Source organism: Homo sapiens, chromosome 14 (genome assembly GCF_000001405.40).
Source record: "Homo sapiens chromosome 14, GRCh38.p14 Primary Assembly".
NCBI lineage: Eukaryota > Metazoa > Chordata > Mammalia > Primates > Hominidae > Homo > Homo sapiens.
In genome coordinates this window covers 106,076,304-106,096,905 of record NC_000014.9, presented here as the reverse complement: position 1 = coordinate 106,096,905, position 20,602 = coordinate 106,076,304, and the positions used below count along the sequence as shown (strand labels likewise).

Here is a 20,602-nt window from a genome sequence, read left to right as displayed (position 1 = left end):
GCTAAGTTGACAAGAGGTGGGCTTTTGATGGTTAATACTAGGTGTCAACTTGATTGGATTAAGGGATGCCTAGATGGCTGGGAAAATATTGTTTCTTGGTGTATCTCTTGGGGTTTTGCCAGAGGAGGTTGATATTTGAGTCAGTGGACTGGAAGAGAAAACCCACCCTCAATGTGGATGGGCACCATCCAATCAGCTGCCAGCACAGCTAGAATAAAGCAGGTGGAAGAAGATGAGATAGCATTGGTTGCTGTGCTTTATGTTTTTGTTTTGTTTTCCTTGCTGGCTGCCTTTTTGTTTCCTCCTGCCCTTGGACATGAGACTTCAGGCTCTTTGGTGGTTGGATGCCAGGGCTTGAAGGAGGGGCTTCCTGAGGGCTCCTGGGCCCTTTGTCAGAGACTCAAGGGTGCACTGTTGGCTTTTCTAGTTTTGAGACTTTTGGATTTAGACTGAGCCACTACCAGTTTGTCTCTTTCCGTGCTTTTAGAAAGCCTATCATGGAACTTTCATCTTGCAATTTTGTGAGAAAATTCTTTCTAATAAAATATTTATATATATACATATGTCATATTAGTTCTATTTTTCTGGAGAACCCTGAGTAATACAACTTTGATACACAAAACAACATTGTTGTACTCACAAAAATGTATGCTAACTAAAATAAGCCAACAAGTAAAAGTGCATAAAGTATAAATCTATTTCTACAAACCACAAAAAATGAACATGAATCTAAAGTAACAAAAAAGATCAGTAGTTGCTTAGGGACAGAGTGGAAAATTATATTTTTTCAAATGCTAAAAATAACACTCTCATCTACTATGAACATTGCTCTCTCCTCAGGTATTTCACCCCAGAACTGACTCTACAACAGGAGACATGCAAACAGGTTCCTGTTCATGTACTAACACTTCCTAGCACTTCTTTTTCATGTACTTCTTTGACTTATTTGTTGATGAAAGTTGATACCATAAAAATATCTAAACAGGGTTCACATTAGAGAAAAAGAAGAGAGTGACAGGAAGATTAAGCCAGAGCATCCAGTTCCAGTGATTCTTTGATCCTGCCCTCCCTGAAATCTAGAAGCAGAGGGATGAGCCATGCTGAGCAGAGCACACTTGTCCAGGGAGAAAGAGGAGAAAGAGGTGTAAATGTGTCCTTCCCATGCTCCCTGTCCATAAAGGGAACGTCAACTGATGTCTGTGCCCTTCCTTAGTGTCTACAACATAGAGTGTGTGCTAATCTGTGCTTCACTTTTTATCACTCTCAGAGGTAGGGCTTCTGTGGATCAAATACAGCTGTGGCTGCTCCTCAGCCTGTTCCCTCTGTATTCGTAATAGTCCTACATGAAGTTCATTGGTGGAATCTCAGATACTTTTTTACAAAGCCTCTGAATTTACCTTCATTGACTCCATCATTAGCTCAGCCCAGTAGTCTTCAGGCCAGGGGCTGGTGTTGGGGGGCAACAGTGAGTGATTTGAGTGGAATTTGTTAGTGGTACCCTCCATCAATACAAAGAAGAATCATAATCCTCAGGGACACCCTTGTCAGCACAGTCTCCCTCAAAATGACCAACCTGAGAGCCGAGAACAAGGTCACGTGTTACTGTGAGAGACACAGTCAGCAGACACCAGTGTGGTGAGTCCAGACGCAAACTTCCCTGCAGGGAAACAGGAGGGGACTGCAAAGTAGGCATGCTCAGACCCACCAGTGGGCGATGGGGACACACAGGAGTGCTCAGAATCCAGCAGGGGGCTCTCAGAACAACCAGGAGGCACTTAGAATGCTGGGGGAAGCTCAGGACACCAGGGGCCACACAGAACCACCGGGGGGCACTCACGACACAAGGGGGTTCTCAGGAACCACCAGGAGATGCTCGGAACCACCAGGGGGCGCTCATTAACCACTATGGGACACTCAGGACTAACCAGGAGACGTTCAGGAACCACCAGAGGGCGCTCAGAACCGTCAGAGGACAGTCAGAACCACCAGGGGGCGCTCAGGACACCAGGGGTTGCTCAGGACCCCAGGGGTTGCTCAGGACCCCAGAGGGTGCTCAGCAACAACCAAGTGGTGCTCAGATCCACCAGGGGGCGCTCAGGAAGTGAGGGGGTGCCCAGGAACCACCAAGGGTCGCTTAGGAACCACATGGGGCACTCAGAACCACCAGGGGGCGCTCAGGACACCCTGGGGAGCTCAGAACCACCAGGGGGCAATGAGAACACCAGAGGGCCTTCAGGAAACCAGGGTTCTCTTAGCAGGCAGCTCCTCATCAGGTCCCTGGGGAGGGTGAGTTTCTTTATTTAGGTCTTGTGATTCCTGACCTGGTGAAGCAAACGTCTTCCCAGGGTCTTTTACTATTTCTTCTTTAGAATCCATGGTTTCTCTCACCTACAAAACCTTAACTTAGAACAGGAGTTCAATTAAACTATTAATTCTTAATATTGTTGTAATAATACTAGTAATAATATCTCAGTACAATTTTAAAATGAAGAAATTGTGTATGCTTACTTCAAATTATTTCCACAAACAGCTTTTCGTTTCTGTGCTGTGTCAGTCACACTATCATAAAGGGTTTCTAACAATAACTCAGCATATGCATGGTGCTGAGTTTCTTTCTCTTTCATCCTCTGATTGTGACCCCTCAGGCTGTTTCCCCACCTTCCCTTTTTCTGTCCAAACCTTTCATATTCCTCAATTTCCATTCAAGGAACCAGCAAGTCCGTTTACATTGCCTCATCCGTGTCTGGTGAATCAGTTCACTTTCCTTCATGATCACCGAAGCCAATCAAGTATGGGCAGGTAAATGTTCTTAGAATATGTTCATTCAGACTCACTGCCCACCTCACCCCTTTCTAGGGTCCTGCAGACATCACCCACACCCCATCTCCTCCCTTCCCTAATTAACAGAGTGGGCTCTGCAGCTCCTGCTGCCCTCTGTGTGCTCAGCCCTGGGGCTCACTAGGGCTTTGATGATGAAGTCCACATCTCTAAAGTATTTGCGCACTCTCAGACCACCCTCTAGCAAGCTGCTGTTGTGAATGAATCCTGAGAATCCTGGGCAGATTTCAGTTCCACATTGCTGGATGTTCTCTAGCATTCAGGAGTATTAGCAAATAACTACCAGAGTGAAATTGGATGCAAAAAAATTTAAAGGAATACTTTTAAATAGAAATATTTTAATCTGACTTTTATGAAAATACAATGATAATACAATCAATAATGTAATAAAATTTTAATAGTAATGTTTATTACTTATTCAATTTGTGAATGACTGATATTCAAAAAGGATGCTGCTAACACAAATGAGAAATAAACCAACACAAAGTTCATAAATAAATACCATTGTACATTAAAGTAATATAATTTTCAAGAATGGCATTTATGTTAACTTTTACCAGAACATGCATTGAAATACATTTGTTTATTGACATTGGAATAGACAGAAATATATATATAGAAGAACATTATTTTAGACTACAATCTCAATTACTATAAACACAATAATTTCAATTCAATCCAATAATTAAAATATTATGCAAAAAGTGTGCCTTCTTTTTGTGTTTGAATATGCATTTATTTTTGGTTTTGCACATATGTGTATCATTGTTGAGCATGTGTGGTTTTTTTGGTGTGTGTGTGTGTGACTATGAAGTAGGAAATACATTATTAACTTATAGGGTTATAACAATCTAAGTTTTGCCATGTTAAAAGATAATAAAGAACACACAAGTAAAAAATCATAGTGTATTTCAAATGCCTCAGACTTCCACAGAAGTCATATCAATAATGAACATACTAGTTCAAGGTTTTGAAAAAGACACATGTAATAAGATATGTCAAATTGAATTAATAGAATATTGCTATGCAGTTGAGAAAAACATCATACAATCAGTCTCACTACTGGCCAAATAAATGCTTATGATAATAATACCTGTAGTCCATCCTATTGTAGAGAATAAAATAACTATATAAATGCCACTTCCATTACTAGAATTTAGTATTAGATACTTCTAATATTTTCCTGATACAAATAAACATTTGTCAATGTCTTAGACATTTCAAAATTATTTTAAAAAATAATTTGCATAATGTTTGTGATAGTATCATTTTCAACAACCTATTCCATAAGTTCTTATGGTTTTTATTTTTATCATAGTGCTTTTGCAGTTTACACACTTTTGATTTGTAATAAGTATAGATGACCAGAACAATTTTAGAAGAAATACATAGTGTGTTCCCTTCCATCTCCAAGTTTCTTCTAAGGTTAACTTTTACATAAACATGGCACATTCTACTAACACATTTATACCTATGGATTTATATTTATTAGACTCCAGACATTATTTGAGCTTCAACAATTTCCCAATATTTTTCTTGTTTGTTTTCCTTTTTTTTTTAAATATGAGGTCTGACTCCACTCTTGCTTTTGTTTGTTTCTTTGTTCCAAGGCTCAACCTGGGTCACCATATTGAATTCAATCACTCTTTACCTCTAATCTTTTTGGGTTAATTGGAGTCTGCATTCCTACTGTTTTCCAGTTGAACATTTTATACATGAAAATTAGCCAAGTAGGTTTTTACTGCCATTTAGGTAACTTAAATCTTTTCATATTTTTTCACTGTCTGTTCTTTCAATCACAATTGGTACTGAATTTTACATTTACTATAAATGTTAGTTTATTTTCTGAAACATTTGTTAAATCTTTTTTGATGTCTTCTAGAAAAGTAAACCCTTTATTCTGTGTAATATTTTTCTTCAGTCTTAACAGTATATTTTCTAATGACCACTTATTCTGAAATTAAAATAGCTTCTCAATAATTCTTTTCATTCATACTTTCATGGAACATGTCATCACATCTTCAACTTTCTATTTGTAAAAATACAGAGTAACTTTCTTGTAAAAACCTAAAAGTTGAATCTTTTTTTTAAGAAGCTATGACAAATTATCCTTTTAAACTTTTATCTCTTTTTCCGGTTAATTTTTTTTTTTTTGAGATGGAATCTCGCTATCATTGCCCAGGCTGGAGTGCAATGGTGAGATCTCAGCTTACTGCAACCTCTGCCTCCTGGGCTCAAGCGATTCTCCTGCCTCAGCCTCCCAAGTAGTTGGGATTACAGGCATGCACCACCATGCACAGCAAATTTTGTATTTTTAATAGAAACAGGGTTTCTCCATGTTGGTCAGTCTGGTCTCGAACTCCTGACCTCAGGTGATCCGCCTGCCTCGGCCTCCCAAAGTGCTGGGATTACAGGCGTGAGCCACTGTGCCCAGCCTGTTAATTCTTGCTTTATTTTGGCATTTTATTGTAAAGTTTATCCTATTAACTTACTTATGACTTAATTTATTTTTATTAATGTTTTGTTGGCTACCACAAGGTTTGCAATAATAATTTTATATCATCAGATTCTAACTCAGATAATGATATTTTTGTACCAGTTGTTCCCTTCTACAGCTTCAATATTCTCCACTGTTACAATCAATCACCTTCTAGATCTGCTGCCATGCCCTGCAGATTAAGGATTTTATTCCATGACAGAGTGGAGGTGCAACTTGATGGAACTTTGATGAGAACCTCGGTTTTTATCCCATGTCCTTTAGGGCTCCATCAGTACCTCTGGAATAATGGTTTCAGTGGCTTGCCCCTGCAGGGTAGATAATTCCTTATTTCTATAGTGCTAAGGAGGGATTGTGTCTGAATGCATTTTAGAAGTATGTGGCCTCCCTCTGTCTTAGAAAGACACTTTGGGAAATAAAGATTTTTCTCACTGTCCCCATTCTAGGGTAAAGGGATTCACTAGGATAGGAATGCTGATCAAAGAAAACCTTCAGGCAAATTAAATTTAAAAGAGTTTAATTGAGTAATGGATGATTCATGAATCAGGCAGCCCCCAGAATAGATTCGAAGAGGCTTGAATGTAGCCACATGGTGGAAGAAGATTTATAGATGAAAAAAAAATGATGTACAGAAATTAGAAGTGAGGTACAGGAATGACTGGATTGGTTACAGGTTGGTGTTTGTCTTATTTAAACACAGTCTGAACACTCAAGGGTGTATGAGTGGTTAAGGTATGGCTACTGGAATTGACCAAGGCTCAGCTATTGTTACAGGTGCATACTCCTAAATTAGGGTTTCAATCTTGTCCACACATTCAGGTAGGTTACGGTTTGTCCACAAGGACTCAATCATAGAAGTACGGAGTCCTTCTCAGGCCATATTTAATTCACTTTTTCAGTGCCCTTCAGTATGTGGTTCCTGAGAATTTCACACGACAACACGTTTTCCACACTGGAATTTAAGCAATCCAACACGTATTTGTCTTTATCTTGTAATAGGCTATATTTCATATGGCAGCCTCTGCCTCAGTTTAGTTAACACCATGGCTTTGTTTCTCTCTTGGAGAAACAAGAACTTGTTTCTCCCAAGATTTCCGTGTTCGTGAAAGGAAAATATACCTTTGGGACCCCCAAATCACTAAGCCAAATGTGAAAGTGAAGCTGAAAACTGGGGCAAACCCACCTCCCATTCTTTCCCTAAAATGATAGCTACTAAGGTTTTTAAAAGCTGCATACCTCCTTCCCGATTTGACCACAAGGAAAATCCTTATGAACCAAGGACAGACAGAATAATTTCTCTGCTCACGTAAGTCAAATGCATATCTGATTGCTACCTTTGCTCTATTGTTTCGCTGCGTGAAAAATAGGCCTACGTGACTATTCCTGTAAATTGTGCATTCAGTTAATGGCTAATCAGAAACTCAAAAGAATGCAACCATTTGTCTCATATCTACCTATGATCTTGAAGCTCTCTCCCCACTTCGAGTTGTCCTGCCTTTCTGAACCAAACCAATGTACATCTTACATATATTAATTAATGTCCCATGTCTCTCTAAATTGTATAAAACCAAGCTGTGCCCCACAACCTTGGGCACATGTCGTCAGGACTCCCTGAGGTGGTGTCACAGGCATGTCCTTAATCTTGGAAAATGAACTTCCTAAATCTATTGAGATTAGTCTCAGATACTCTTTGGTTTACAGGTTTATTTTTTATCTTATAACTTGTATTATCTGAAATATTAAAGAAAATTTGCCAAACTACACATTCTCTTGTTTAATCTGTTATTGTTTTTATAAAGGGAAATATATTTATATAATTTATGTATAATTTATAATTTATGTACATTATGAAGCTGAGTAGCAGAATTATTAATAAGATCTAGAGTAATAAAAAATTCCAGGATCAATTATCAGCTTAATAGAAAAAGAAATTATGCTACATTTGTTTGCTGAAATGCTACCCATTTATAAAATATAAACACACACAACAAAAAGGTTTAACTCTCAGCATTTCTATTGAGAAAAATAAGCCAAATAGTTAAGATATATACTATATTACTTCATTCTTATAAATTCTAGAAAATAAAAGCTAGTTGAAAGAAATATGAAAACATCAGTAGTTTTATAAAGAAATGGTAGAAGAAAGGAAGGAGAAAAAACAAAAAAAATAAGAGAGCAAGAGGAATCCTGAGGGAAGTTGACTTGTCACCTTCTTGAAAATAGAGATTTTTTTTCAATGTTTACTATTGTACAGGTTAAATATGTGAATTTTGTTATCTGTCAATTAAAACGTATGAAATTTATTACAAGTAAACAATTGACATTTTAGACAAAATAGGAAATACAGCAAGGAACAAATAAATATGTTAAATGTCAGATATACCTAAATATTTATCTACCTGAATCTTGTCTCCACATTTGTAAGTAAACACAGCAAAATCAGACAGGTTCTCGTGACAGGAAGTGGATTCTGCAAACCACACTTGGCCCGTTTATCTCTGTCCTGTAGTTGGTTCAGAGCAACTGAGGCCAGTTGTGAGGAGCATAGGCCCAGGTACTAGGACTCACTCATGCCAGATATAAGCCCTTAGACACATACATAGCCCCTCCATGTGTGGGTTCACTTTTACGTCTGTACATGAAGAAACCACTGATTCCTAAATAACATAATTTATACACATAGGTAAACATAATTAAAAATGTGATAGTTATTAAATGTTTATCATGGAACAATTTCACAATAAGTCAGCATTTTCCCAAATACAATCATTGTCATCGAAATCCCCAAGGACACTCTCATCTGCCCTGGGCCCTGCCCTCTCCTCAGGCGTCCCACCCCAGAGCTTGCTATATAGTAGGAGACATGCAAATAGGTCCCTCCTTCTCCTGATGAAAACCAGCCCAGCCCTGACTCCGCAGCTCTGGGAGAGGAGCCCCAGGCCCGGGATTCCCAGGTGTTTCCATTCAGTGATCAGCACTGAAGACAGAAGACTCATCATGGAGTTCTGGCTGAGCTGGGTTCTCCTTGTTGCCATTTTAAAAGGTAATTCATGGAGAACTAGAGATAGTGTGAGTGGACGTGAGTGAGAGAAACAGTGGATATGTGTGGCAGTTTCTGACCTTGGTGTCTCTTTGTTTGCAGATGTCCAGTGTGAGGTGCAGCTGGTGGAGTCTGGGGGAGGCTTGGTCCAGCCTGGGGGGTCCCTGAGACTCTCCTGTTCAGCCTCTGGATTCACCTTCAGTAGCTATGCTATGCACTGGGTCCGCCAGGCTCCAGGGAAGGGACTGGAATATGTTTCAGCTATTAGTAGTAATGGGGGTAGCACATACTACGCAGACTCCGTGAAGGGCAGATTCACCATCTCCAGAGACAATTCCAAGAACACGCTGTATCTTCAAATGAGCAGTCTGAGAGCTGAGGACACGGCTGTGTATTACTGTGTGAAAGACACAGTGAGGGGAAGTCAGTGTGAGCCCAGACACAAACCTCCCTGCAGGAACGCTGGAGAAAAACAGCTGCAGTGGGCGCTCAGGACCCACTGATCAGCGTCAACCTCAGAGGCAGGTGCACAAGGAGGCTGATTTCCTGTCACGATGTGGGACTTCATCTCTTTACAGTTTCTCTAGTGAACCTCTCTAAGTTCAGAACTCTGTGCTTACTAATGTCATCTGTACATATTTTTTAAAATGATTATTTTAATATGAAAACCTATTCTCCTGTGTACAAAATGCGGATTGATCCTTACAGAGGAGATGAAAACTCCTCAACCATGGTCACCATGATCAGAGTTCTGAGGAAACTAGGGGCTTCCTGGTGAGTCTTCTCCAATCAAATTCAGGACAGGAACCTCAGAAAGATTCCTGACTAGAACTGAGGTATTGCTCCTCACAAGAGAGCTCTAGCTCCGGGGGGTCTGTTCCTGCAGACCCCTGATTCGGTGGTGTATGAATAAAATGTACACTGACACACAGATACTCTGTTTTTCCAGTGCAGCTGAGGGTCCGAGGCCACTTACAGACTCCAAGAAGAATCCTGTAAAGAATGGCAGCAGTGGCCCTGAGCAGCTCGCACTCCAGGCGTGTATTTAGTATAGAATTAACAACAGAAGCTCTGAGTCAACACACTTGTGGATAATTAACATGGTTAAGAGAGTAGTTCTACGAATGAGTAAAGCTCAGGGACTGTGGTCTGAAGTAAATACCATTAGGGGGCAATATTCTTGGTCGACCTCCCGCTGAGAGGGTCTTCTGGCTTAAAGGTTAGTTAATGGGGTAGGGTAACCAGACTTAACTGGGGAAGCCTCTGTTGTCCCTAGTATTTACCCTACAACCTAATGCTCTAAGGTAAGAACCGGCCATCTTCAGCCTGTTCAGTTATTGCAAGCTATGTAAACTTCCGGCCTTCCAAAAAAGTTTGTGACTATTTCCTATAACTTTCGTTAATATTTCCCTTTAATATTTCTGCCACCATCCTGAATGAATCCCAGCAAGAACAGTCTTTGGGGATTCTGATTACAGAAAAAAGAGAGGCTGGGCCAGGGTCAGTGTCATGTAGAACCTCACAGCTTTCTTGTGGGACCCTTCTCCTGACACCGAAGTATGCAAATCAGCATCAGCACTGATCTGGTGCTTCTTTTGTTCCTGATTCATTTACTTTCTTTTTTAGTTGTTGTTCTCATTTTTCCATTTGCTTTTCCTGCTTTCTGAGAAACAAAGATGTTTTTGCTGTGGTCAAAATTCCAGGCCTCAAGCCCTTTTCCTGGAGCTCAGGTGGGTCTCAGGCTGTGGCTGCTGCAGTCACGTGGGAGAGGCTGGTGGGACTTTCTTCACTCCTCGTCACTCAGGACCCTCCACTGTGTTGCATGGAGACTCATGTCGAAATACAAGTTGCCAGTGAGAACACAGGGGACAAGCTTGTTTGGTTAACGTGGGATGTGGATGTGTTTCTAATCCTGTTCTGAAAAACCTTCACACAGTAACGTTCTTCACTAGTGGAGGAGGAAGTGGGTGTGAACGTTGTCAGAATAAAAATGGAGCCACGTGTGTTATAATCTTTACAGGTGAAGCTGGAGGAGGTCATGAATAGAGGGTTCTCATGCACACATCCCTGATAACAAGAACTACCCTAAAAATACTCTGCACAACCACAACCTTGAACAAAGGCTACCACAACAATAAGAGAATTAATACTGTGGGGATATCTGCCCTGCAACTCCCTGTTCAGCCTTAAACTGATTCTACCCTTGTTATTGATTCTTCTACCCCAGGATAATTGTCTCAAAATAGCTCATGTAATCTTCTCATTTATCCTTTAGAATACTTGTCTTCCTTTACCAACCTAAATGTGACCATGGATAATCCCATTGCAATGCTCATTTTCAAATAAATACGATTTGATTTTGGAGAATCTCTTTCTGTCTGATATTTAGGTTTGACAAGATGCAGACCACTTTCCTGTGAGATGTAGGGAATGACAATTTTTGGGGGTGGCTGGAAACATCCAATACTCTCAGGGCCGGCCATCAGTAAATGCAGGCTGGATGTCTTAGAAAGAGCTCAAGGTCCTTAATCACCATGGAGTTTTACCTTCTCCAGATCTGTTCTGATGGAATCAAGGCCAAGCTGGTTATCAAAGATAATCTACCTATCATAGAGTCAACTGATTACAGTTTTAATAAAGTCTATTAAAAATCCACACTACCACCTGGATTAGTGTTTGGTCAAATAACTACAAAGTATTGGCCAGCCAAGTACACCATAAGACAGACCATTACCCATGTAGAAAAACATTTAACATGAGTTCTAGGTTCTTATATTGTTAAAGGTGTAAAACCGATTATTTTTAAATTACGCTATTTTTATTTTATCGAGTTGTAGAAGTTTCATTTACGTTTTGGATGTTAACACTTCTTTAGATACATGGTATATTATCCAATTCTGTGAGTTGGAATTATTTCGTTGCTTTGCAGAATCCTTTTTTAAATCTAGTCCCACTTGTCCAATTCTGTTTTTTTTTTTATGTCCTTTGAATGTAAAAGCCAGAAAAAGATTGCTAATTTTTTGAGGGTTGGGAGTTTTACAATTGCAGGTATTTCATTTAAATATTGAATTCATTTAGAGTTAATTTTTTTTGTTTATTCTAACCTAAAATTCTTAATTCTTTGCATGTGAAAATCCAATTTTCATAACCTGCTCTTTGGAAGTCACTATAATTTAGCAATTGTATATCGATTGTTCTCATGCTGAAAATCAGCTGGCCATCAGTATGTGGGTTTATATCTCAGCCCTGTATGCATTTATGCCAATACCATTCTGATTTATTACTCTGTGTTTCTAATAAATGTTGAGGCCTGGAAGTGAAATACCTCAAGCTTTCTTCTTGCCTTGTTTCAGATATTAGACCAAAATATTCTAACCTTTTACTATTGAGTATAACAATAGCTGAGACTTTTCTTAATGGCTTTTATTATGTACAAGTTGTTTGCTTGTCTTCATACTTTGTTCAGAGTTTTTATAATGAAACTCTGAATTTTTTTTCAAATGTTTTTGTGTCTGATGAAATGTTACTGAGATATTTTTTCTTTAGTTTTTTAATGTGGTGTACCAAATTGATTGATTTGAGAATGTTGAATCATCTGTGCATCTCAGGAAGAAATTTGAGTTGGTCATGGTGTATGGTCTTCTATAAAATCTTTAGAATTTATTTTACTGTTGTTGGACGGTTAATTTATGTCTATTAATGATATTGATCTATGGTTTTATTTAATTGTGGTTCCTTTGTCTATTACTGGTAATACTGTAACGGTAGCCTCATAGAAAGAGTTTGGAGGGTTTGTTGCAGACTGCCTTTAAAATAGATTTTATCAGTGGAGAAACGGTGATAGTTTTTTTCTTCAGTTTTCTGTTGGGAATAGTTTTATGTATTTTAAAAGATATTTTGAATGACTTAACCTGCTTAAAGGGCTTACATAATATTCCTTTCTTCCATGCTTTTTAAAGAACTGCTTACCTTTCCTAATTATTTTTAGGGTGATTTTTTTCATAAAGATTGTGCAATACATTTTGAGGTGAAACTTAGTGGATTTTTTCTAATGAATTAGAAATAATAAATCACTTAATTGACTATTGTATTAAGGTTGATTTGTTGAATATTTGCTAAAGGCCAGTTCTTTAAGCTGTGCCATGTACTAAATCCCTAACCGACTATTTTATTCAGGTTGATTTGTTGAATATTTGCTGCAGACCAGTTATTTACGCTATGGCATGTAATACATCCCAAATGGCAGTAAGTCATTGTTTATTTAGCTTTTGTGCTTATATTTTTCAGAGGAAAAAACACTACTGTAAATTGTAAATAGCCAATACATAACAGTATTGTATGCAAATCTGTGACTGTTGGCAGTGTCATCTCTGAGAAACAGATAAAGTTTATTTACTATATATAAAAAAAAGAGTTTGGAAGGTGGACTCCTCACCAATTTTTGAAAGAGTTACGGAAGGGTTGCCATTACTTCTTTAAATGTTAAGACTCATTTTATGATTTAACATATAACCTATCACGGAGAATGTTCAATGGGTGCTTGAGAAGGATGTGTATTACATGGCTCTTGGTTGGAAGGTTCTGTAAATGTCTTTCAGGAAAATTTGTTCAACAGTGTTGTTCAAGTTCAGAGGCTTGTTAACAATTCTCTTTCTGAATTTGCTATACATTATTGTTAAGTGAGGTATTAAGGTTTTCCCATATTTTTATATTGTTTTCTATTTCTCTATATATGCATATATATATTAAAGTTTGCTTAATGCATTTATATTTGTATTTGTACACATGTGTAAAAAATAAAATAGTAATTGCCTAGTGAGTTTCATGGCACAGTCACATTATGAATAATCATATTTTCCCAAACGCTGCCATTCCACTAACTCCTCCAGATACATGGTATATTATCCAATTCTGTGAGCTGGAATTATTTCGTTGCTTTGCAGAATCTTTTTTTGTTAATCTAGTTCCACTTGTTCAATTCTGCTCCTCCAGGAGTCTCATATCTCCTCTGGGCACTGCCTTCTTCTCAGGCATCCCACACTGGAGCTTACTATAGACGAGGAGGCATGAAAACAGGACACTCCCTCTCCTGGTGAAAACAATCCCAGACCCAACCCTGCAGCTCTGGGAGAAGAGCCACAGCCCTGGGATTCCCAGGGGTTTCCATTTTGGTGATCAGGATTGAACACAGAGGACTCACTATGGGGTGTGAGTTAAGCTGATTTTTTCTTGTTTGTATTTAAAAAGGTGACTCATAGACAACTAGAGTGAGTGGATATGAGTCAGAGAAACAGTGGATATGTTCGGCAGTTTCTGACCAGGATGTCCATGCATTTTCAGGTGTTCAGTGTGAGGTGCAGCTGATTGAGTCCATAGAGGACCTGAGACAATCTGGGAAGTTCCTGAGACTCTCCTGTTTAGCCTCTGGATTCACCTTCAGTAGCTACTGAATGAGCTGGGTCAACAAGACTCCAGGGAAGGGGCTGGAGTGAGTAATAGATATAAAATATGATGGAAGTCAGATATAACATGCAGACTCTGTGAAGCGCAGATTCACCATCTCCAAAGACAATGCTAAGAACTCGCTGTATCTGCAAATGAACTGTCTGAGAACCTGAGGACATGGCCATGCATGGCTGTACATAAGGTTCCAAGTGAGGAAACATAGGTGTGAGTCCAGACACAAAATTTCCTGTGTCTGGAAATTTTGAAAGAAGAAAGAAGAAAGGAGTCTGGGCCGAAGGGGACACTCAGCACTCACAAAACGGGTGGAGGCCTAGGGCAGGTACAGAAAAGCAGTCAAGGGCTGCTGTCCTTCAGGATCTGTGCCTTCCTCTGCATATAGCAGGTGCCCTCGAATCCTCTGCACTTTTATGTTTCTGTGCCTACCATGAGGTCCCTGGATTACAAAACTTTAATTTGAAAGAGGAAACATTCTTATATGTCCCAAAAACCGATGTAAGTATTGGAGGTGTAAAAATGCACAGGCAGTTGGATGAGGCTGTAGACACTGCCAACCCACAATGCCAGTCTCACAACTAGCACTGGAGAATAGTGGGAGTTCAATGGAGCTTCCTACCTATCTTGTGGTCCAAGCTAACTCCAGCGAGGCCATTGGTGCCATCAGGGACCTCCCATATGTCCCAGCAGCAGCCATGCCTCAGTATCTCTATTGTGCACAGCCATAGTCTGGGAGGAGCTCCCAGGATGGGTGTCTTTGGCACACACAGGTGATGGGTGTTAGAGTGTAGTGCAGCAGCTGGCTGCCTGGTCTATTGGGCTCCCTGATGTTGGAGGGATTAGAGGTGGATTCTCAGGGCCAGCACACTGGATTTTTGTATGAAAACCATGATTTTACTTCATTTTCTCAGATGACATAGATAATTAATAACACAATCTGCAAACAATTGTAATTTTCAGCTTTAGCCCAAATTCATTGTTTCTGAATTCTGTGCAGGATCCAGACATGGTACTGCCCTTCTCATGAGAAATTGTTCGACCTAAACTGAAACCAGTTGTTTCTCGTATACTTTGGTTCTCCCCATGTGCAGAGATCTTGATTAGAGCAAGTTTGGTACTTTCCACGCACTCACCCTCACCTCCCCAGATAAAGAGCAGAAGTTCTCCTTAGACTGAGTCTGAGGGAGGAGCTGTTCCTGTACCACTCAGGGCCTGCGGAGACCCCCAGGTGCAGCTTCACTGAGTCAGGTGTTTCACTCCCTGTGATTGCTGCTCAGGTCTAATTGTGGCTCGGAATTAGGACAGTCTTCAGGTTATCACAGGTCAATCATATTCTAAAAATCATCGTTATCACACACCATGGTAACAATTCAAGGTTCATTTTTCTAACGGCAGTTTCTCTTTTTTATTTGGTTACAAGTTTGAGGAAAGGAACATCTGATAATACTTTTTAACCTAACCTCGAAATCTACTGAATTGTTCTAGGAGACTCACAAATTGGACAAAGTGAGCTCTTTATTCTCATAAAAATGTGTGGTTTTGGGAATTTCACTGTGTTGCCCAGAACCTGTTAACATCAACAACTATGTTTCTCAGCACACTTCTGGCTTGAGACGTCCTTGCAGACCCTCTCCCTCACTTGCACTGTCTCTGGATTCCCCATCATAACCAGTGCTTCCTGCTAAATTATATCTGCTTGCCCCTAGATGGACAGGAGTGGATCAGGTGCATGGGTTGTGAAGGGAGGACAAATTACAACCACTTCTCAAGAGTCCATATCCAGATCCAAGAAACAGTTCTTACAGCTGAGCTCTGTGCCCAGTGAACACACAACTACGCATTTTTAAGCAAAAGACACAATGAGGGGACTTCATTATGAGCCTAGACACAAATCTCCCTGCAGGGGTGCATAGGACCAGCAGGGGGCACTCGGGGCAGCATGGGGACTTAGGATAATTGTCGGGGATCAGGATGAGCAGGATCAAGGCTCAGCATTGGGACAGGTGCAAGAGGGCAGAAAAGGGGCTGTAGATGTGGGTTGTTTTCGTCATCATATTTCACCAACAGACACCCTCCACTACATCTCTTCTAATGTATCTGAGTGTTTATATGATTATAAAATGGCATTTATGTAAATACTAATATATACCCATATGAAGGTGCATTGAGTGGTCCTCGCCATCTCATGTGGCCCTTGTCCATCAAGCAATAAGTCCCTGTATTCACTTGAGTACCTCAAACATTACAGTCCAAACATGTAAGGTTTCCCTTTTTCTTGGTCTCTCCTCCTCCCTTCTCTCTCTGTCACACAAACACACATGAACTGACACACACACAGAGCTTCCCAACTTTAATTATCTGATGTATTGAAGCAAACTGATTAATATGCAGCTTTTCTGCTTTGCCTCCCATTTATGTTGTGGTGAAAATAAGAACCATGTGTTTCTCAGCTGGGCACTTCTCTAAGTTAAGTAGCAGCTTTGTTTATTACAACCAGAGAGCAAAAGTAATCCAGGTGTTAGTCAGCAGCTTAAGAGGTCAACAAGTTGTGGAAAATTCATTTACTGGAATAATACCCACTGTTACAATCAAGTACTGTTGGATACACTCAACACCATGCTTAAAATAACAAGTACCTGAATAAGTAAAATAAGTCAAACAAATAAAAGTGCATACATACAATTCCACTTCTATAATTTCTCTGAAGTAAAAATGAACTTAAATAAAAAGGTCTGTAGTTGACTGTGGATGTGGTACAAGAAGAGAAGGTGTGGAAAAGAGAAACTACAGAAGAGCAAAAGGAAATTTCTAGGGTAACTGATTTTTTTCTGTGTTAGTAAAAGTGAGGATTATGTCAATATTTGTAAAATTGTCCACTTTACGTAAAGATTATTATTTGCTAATTTCACCTCATTAAAACATTGCAAATTTTAAAATGTATAATTTGTTAGAAAAGGTGCTAGAGAGAGATTAATAAAATACGTAAAAGTCAGAGACTCCTGAATACACACATGAATGAACCCTGGGTCTCGCTCTACTTTTAGGGAGACACTAGAATACAAAAACATAATGACAGGATTACAGTTCATGAAAGGAGCTTCTCAAACCCCAGGAGGCATGTCCAACTGCGTCCTGGAGTTAACTCAGGGAGCAGGCATGTCCTTTGGAAGGAGCCATGACACCAAGCTCCCAGCATCCATTGTAGCTGACACCATGCAAATGCCAAGAGATCTCAACTAAAATTTTCTGTGGATGTTGAGTCTGATTATGCCACACACTCACACCAAGTGAGTATGGTAAGGATAGTTACCTGCATCCTTAAGGTGTCTGCTGAGAGCAGGGCAGGTCTCTCATTAAGGTCCAAAGTGGCTTGATAAAGCAGGGAAGGAGACTGGCTCAGGGTTGTTATCATGATTTTGTGGTGTGGGCATCCTACTGGCAGGAAGGGTTTTGTGGGGTTTCAAGGTCAATTTGGCATCAAATAAGGGAGCTCCTGTGATTTCTAACTAGATTTATCCTGTGTGCTTTAAAAGAAAGAGAGATGATGGAGGAAAGAGCCTTATGCTATTAGCAATCAGGCATAAAAATAGAACCTGATGACTTACTCTAAATAGCAAGTATAAAAATAATGAGGAAGAAAAGAGACAAGATTCCAATATGGGTGGACAACAACCAGGTCTGCAGAAAATGAGAAGACTGTTTATAAGCAAAGAATAATGAGTAGAAGGAGGATATGAGAAGGATTCTGGTCCAATATCTTGTGTGGAAGCTTTTCATGATTCGAGATCATCAGCTTATTCTGAAGGTCTTAGGTCACCTGTCTTCTTCAAAATATCAGAAGTTCCAGAGGATATGTGAGGATGCACAGTTTAACTTCCTCTATTTGAGTAGCTTTACAATTGTGTAAAATTCTTAATTCTTTTTTTTAAGATGAGTTCTCACTCTGTAGCACAGGTTGGACTGCAGTGGTGTGATCATAGCTCTCTGATTTTAAATTCCTGGCTCATAGAATCCTTCCACCTCAGCCTCCTGAGTAGCAAGTAGCTAGGTCTAGAGGGCCCTTCATCTACACCTGGCTGATTCCTTTTTATTCATTTTTTCATAGAAACAGGGTCTCTCTATGTTGCCCAACCTGCTTTTGAACACCTGGTCTCATGCAATTCTCCAGGCTTGGCCCATCAAAGTGTTGGGATTACAAGTGTAAGCCACCTCATCCAGTAGTCTGCACTGATTTTTTTGTTATAAAGTATGAATCCAATAATTGATTCCCTGGATTTTTTCTGCAGTGCTGTGGTTAAAAGTACCTTATAAGATTCCTTCCAATGTGGCTGAAGAGCAGTGTTTTTCCCTAATGTTTCTTCCAATAGAAATGATTTTCTGGTTGAAGTTCACAAGAAACTGTTAAAAAGATACAGTAAAAAGGCAGCCGTAAACTGTTGGTGATTCGAGTGTATATAATACAGGAATCACTTTCTATATTTTGTAACACATGCATGCAGCAGGAAAAAGGTGAGTGATGAGAGTCAAATCTCTGAATGTATGGGCCTCCCAGATACAATTCATAGGCTAATAACTGACGTGCCCCAAGGAGTGAAATGTGATGCCACACATGCTAGCAGGAGAACACGTGGCCAAGGAAGTTTTTTATAATTTCTATTTAAAAATGTCTATTTCCATTTTTTATTTTTTTTATATTTTCCTACTTTATTCAAAGGAAAGATCTAAAATTGACACCCTAACATCACAATTAAAAGAACTAAAAAAGCAAGTGCAAACACATTCAAAAGCTAGCAGAAGGCAAGAAATAACTAAGATCAGAGCAGAACTGAAGGAGATAGAGACACAAAAAATCCTTCAAAAAATCAATGAGTCCAGGAGCTGTTTTTTTGAAAAGATCAACAAACTTGATAGACCACTAGCAAGACTAACGAAGAAAAGAGAGAAGAATCAAATAGACATAATAAAAAATGATAAAGGGGATATCACCACCGATCCCACAGAAATACAAACTACCATCAGAGAATACTATAAACACCTCTATGCAAATAAACTACAAAATCTAGAAGAAATGGATAAATTCCTGGACACATACACCCTCCCAAGACTAAACCAGGAAGAATTTGAATCTCTGCATAGACCAATAATAGGCTTTGAAATTGAGGCAATAATTAGTAACTAACCAACCAAAAAAAGTCCAGGACAAGACGGATTCACAGCCGAATTCTACCAGAGGTACAAGGAGGAGCTGGTACCATTCCTTCTGAAACTATTCCAATCAATAGAAAAAGAGGGAATCCTCCCTAACTCATTTTATGAGGCCAGCATCATCGTGATACCGAAGCCTGGCAGAGACAAAACAAAAAAAGAGAATTTTAGACCAATATCCCTGATGAACATCAATGCAAAAATCCTCAATAAAATACTGGCAAACTGAATCCAGCAGCACATCAAAAAGCTTATCCACCATGATCAAGTGGGCTTCATCCCTGGAATGCAAGGCTGGTTCAACATACGCAAACCAATAAACGTAATCCAGCATATAAACAGAACCAACGACAAAAACCACATGATTATCTCAATAGATGTAGAAAAGGCCTTTGACAAAATTCAACAACACTTCATGCTAAAAACTCTCAATAAATTAGGTATTGATGGGATGTACCTAAAGATAATAAGAGCTATTTATGACAAACCCACAGCCAATATAATACTGAATGGGCAAAAACTGGAAGAATTCTCTTTGAAAACTGGCACAAGACAGGGATGCCCTCTCTCACCACTCCTATTCAACATAGCATTGGAAGTTCTGTCCAGGGCAATCAGGCAAGAGAAAGAAATAAAGGGTATTCAATTAGGAAAAGAGGAAGTCAAATTGTCCCTGTTTGCAGATGACATGATTGTATATATAGAAAACCCCATAGTCTCAGCCCAAAATCTCCTTAAGCTGATAAGCAACTTCAGCTGAATAACTTTGTATGACTAATAATATAAAATGTTCCACATATTTTTAGCCATGTTTTACTTATTTGTGAAATGTGTGTTTATTAATTTTTCATTTTAAGATGTCACTTTTATCTTTCTTGTTTCTGGGATTTTATTCTAGTAGATATAGCTGAAGGTATTTTAATAATTATTGTAATAATCTCACATTTTATATTTGAATTTTCATATCCATTTCATTAAGATTTTGATTTTGATATAAAATATTTTCTTACAATTGTCTTTTCTATTTTTATGAGATAAAATTAATGTATACAAAATTGCATACATCTTCAATGTACAGTTTCAGGTGTCTGACATATGTGCACACATTTGTCTCCAGCACCTAAGTTAGGATGAGGAGCAGGTCAATCTCCACAACAAGTGTCCTCTTTGGTGCTTCCAGTCAGCTCTCACATAAGGATTTTTATTTAATTTCAAGTTTTCATTCAGATACAGAGGGCATATGTGTGGACTTGTCACATGGGATTATTGAGTGATGCTGAGGTTTGGAATCCAGATTCCATCACCCCCTCCCTCCACTCTCCAGCAGTCCACAGTGTCTATCATTCGCACATTTATGTCCATGAATGCTCAATGCTGAGGTCCCACTTAGATTATGTGGTATTCGGTTTTCTACTCCTGCATTGATTTATTTAGGTTTCAGGCCCCCAGCTCCAATCATTTTGCTGGAAAGGACATGACTATATTATTTTTCATGGCTGTGTAGTGTTATATATTGTAGATGTAACACATTTTGTATATTCAGTCTACCATTGGTGTGTATC

General features: G+C 39.2%; 1 gene segment (V, D, J or C) and 1 further gene; both read left to right on the top strand.

Annotated features, from left to right (window-relative positions):
• The window catches only part of IGH (immunoglobulin heavy locus), a 1,293,408-nt gene that overhangs the window by 782,939 nt on the left and 489,867 nt on the right, over nt 1-20,602 (top strand).
• IGHV3-64D (immunoglobulin heavy variable 3-64D) lies at nt 8,333-8,784 on the top strand. The segment is given in 2 exon segments: nt 8,333-8,378; nt 8,478-8,784. Coding segments are annotated over 2 exon segments (353 nt in total), but the record flags the coding sequence as incomplete, so codon positions are not given.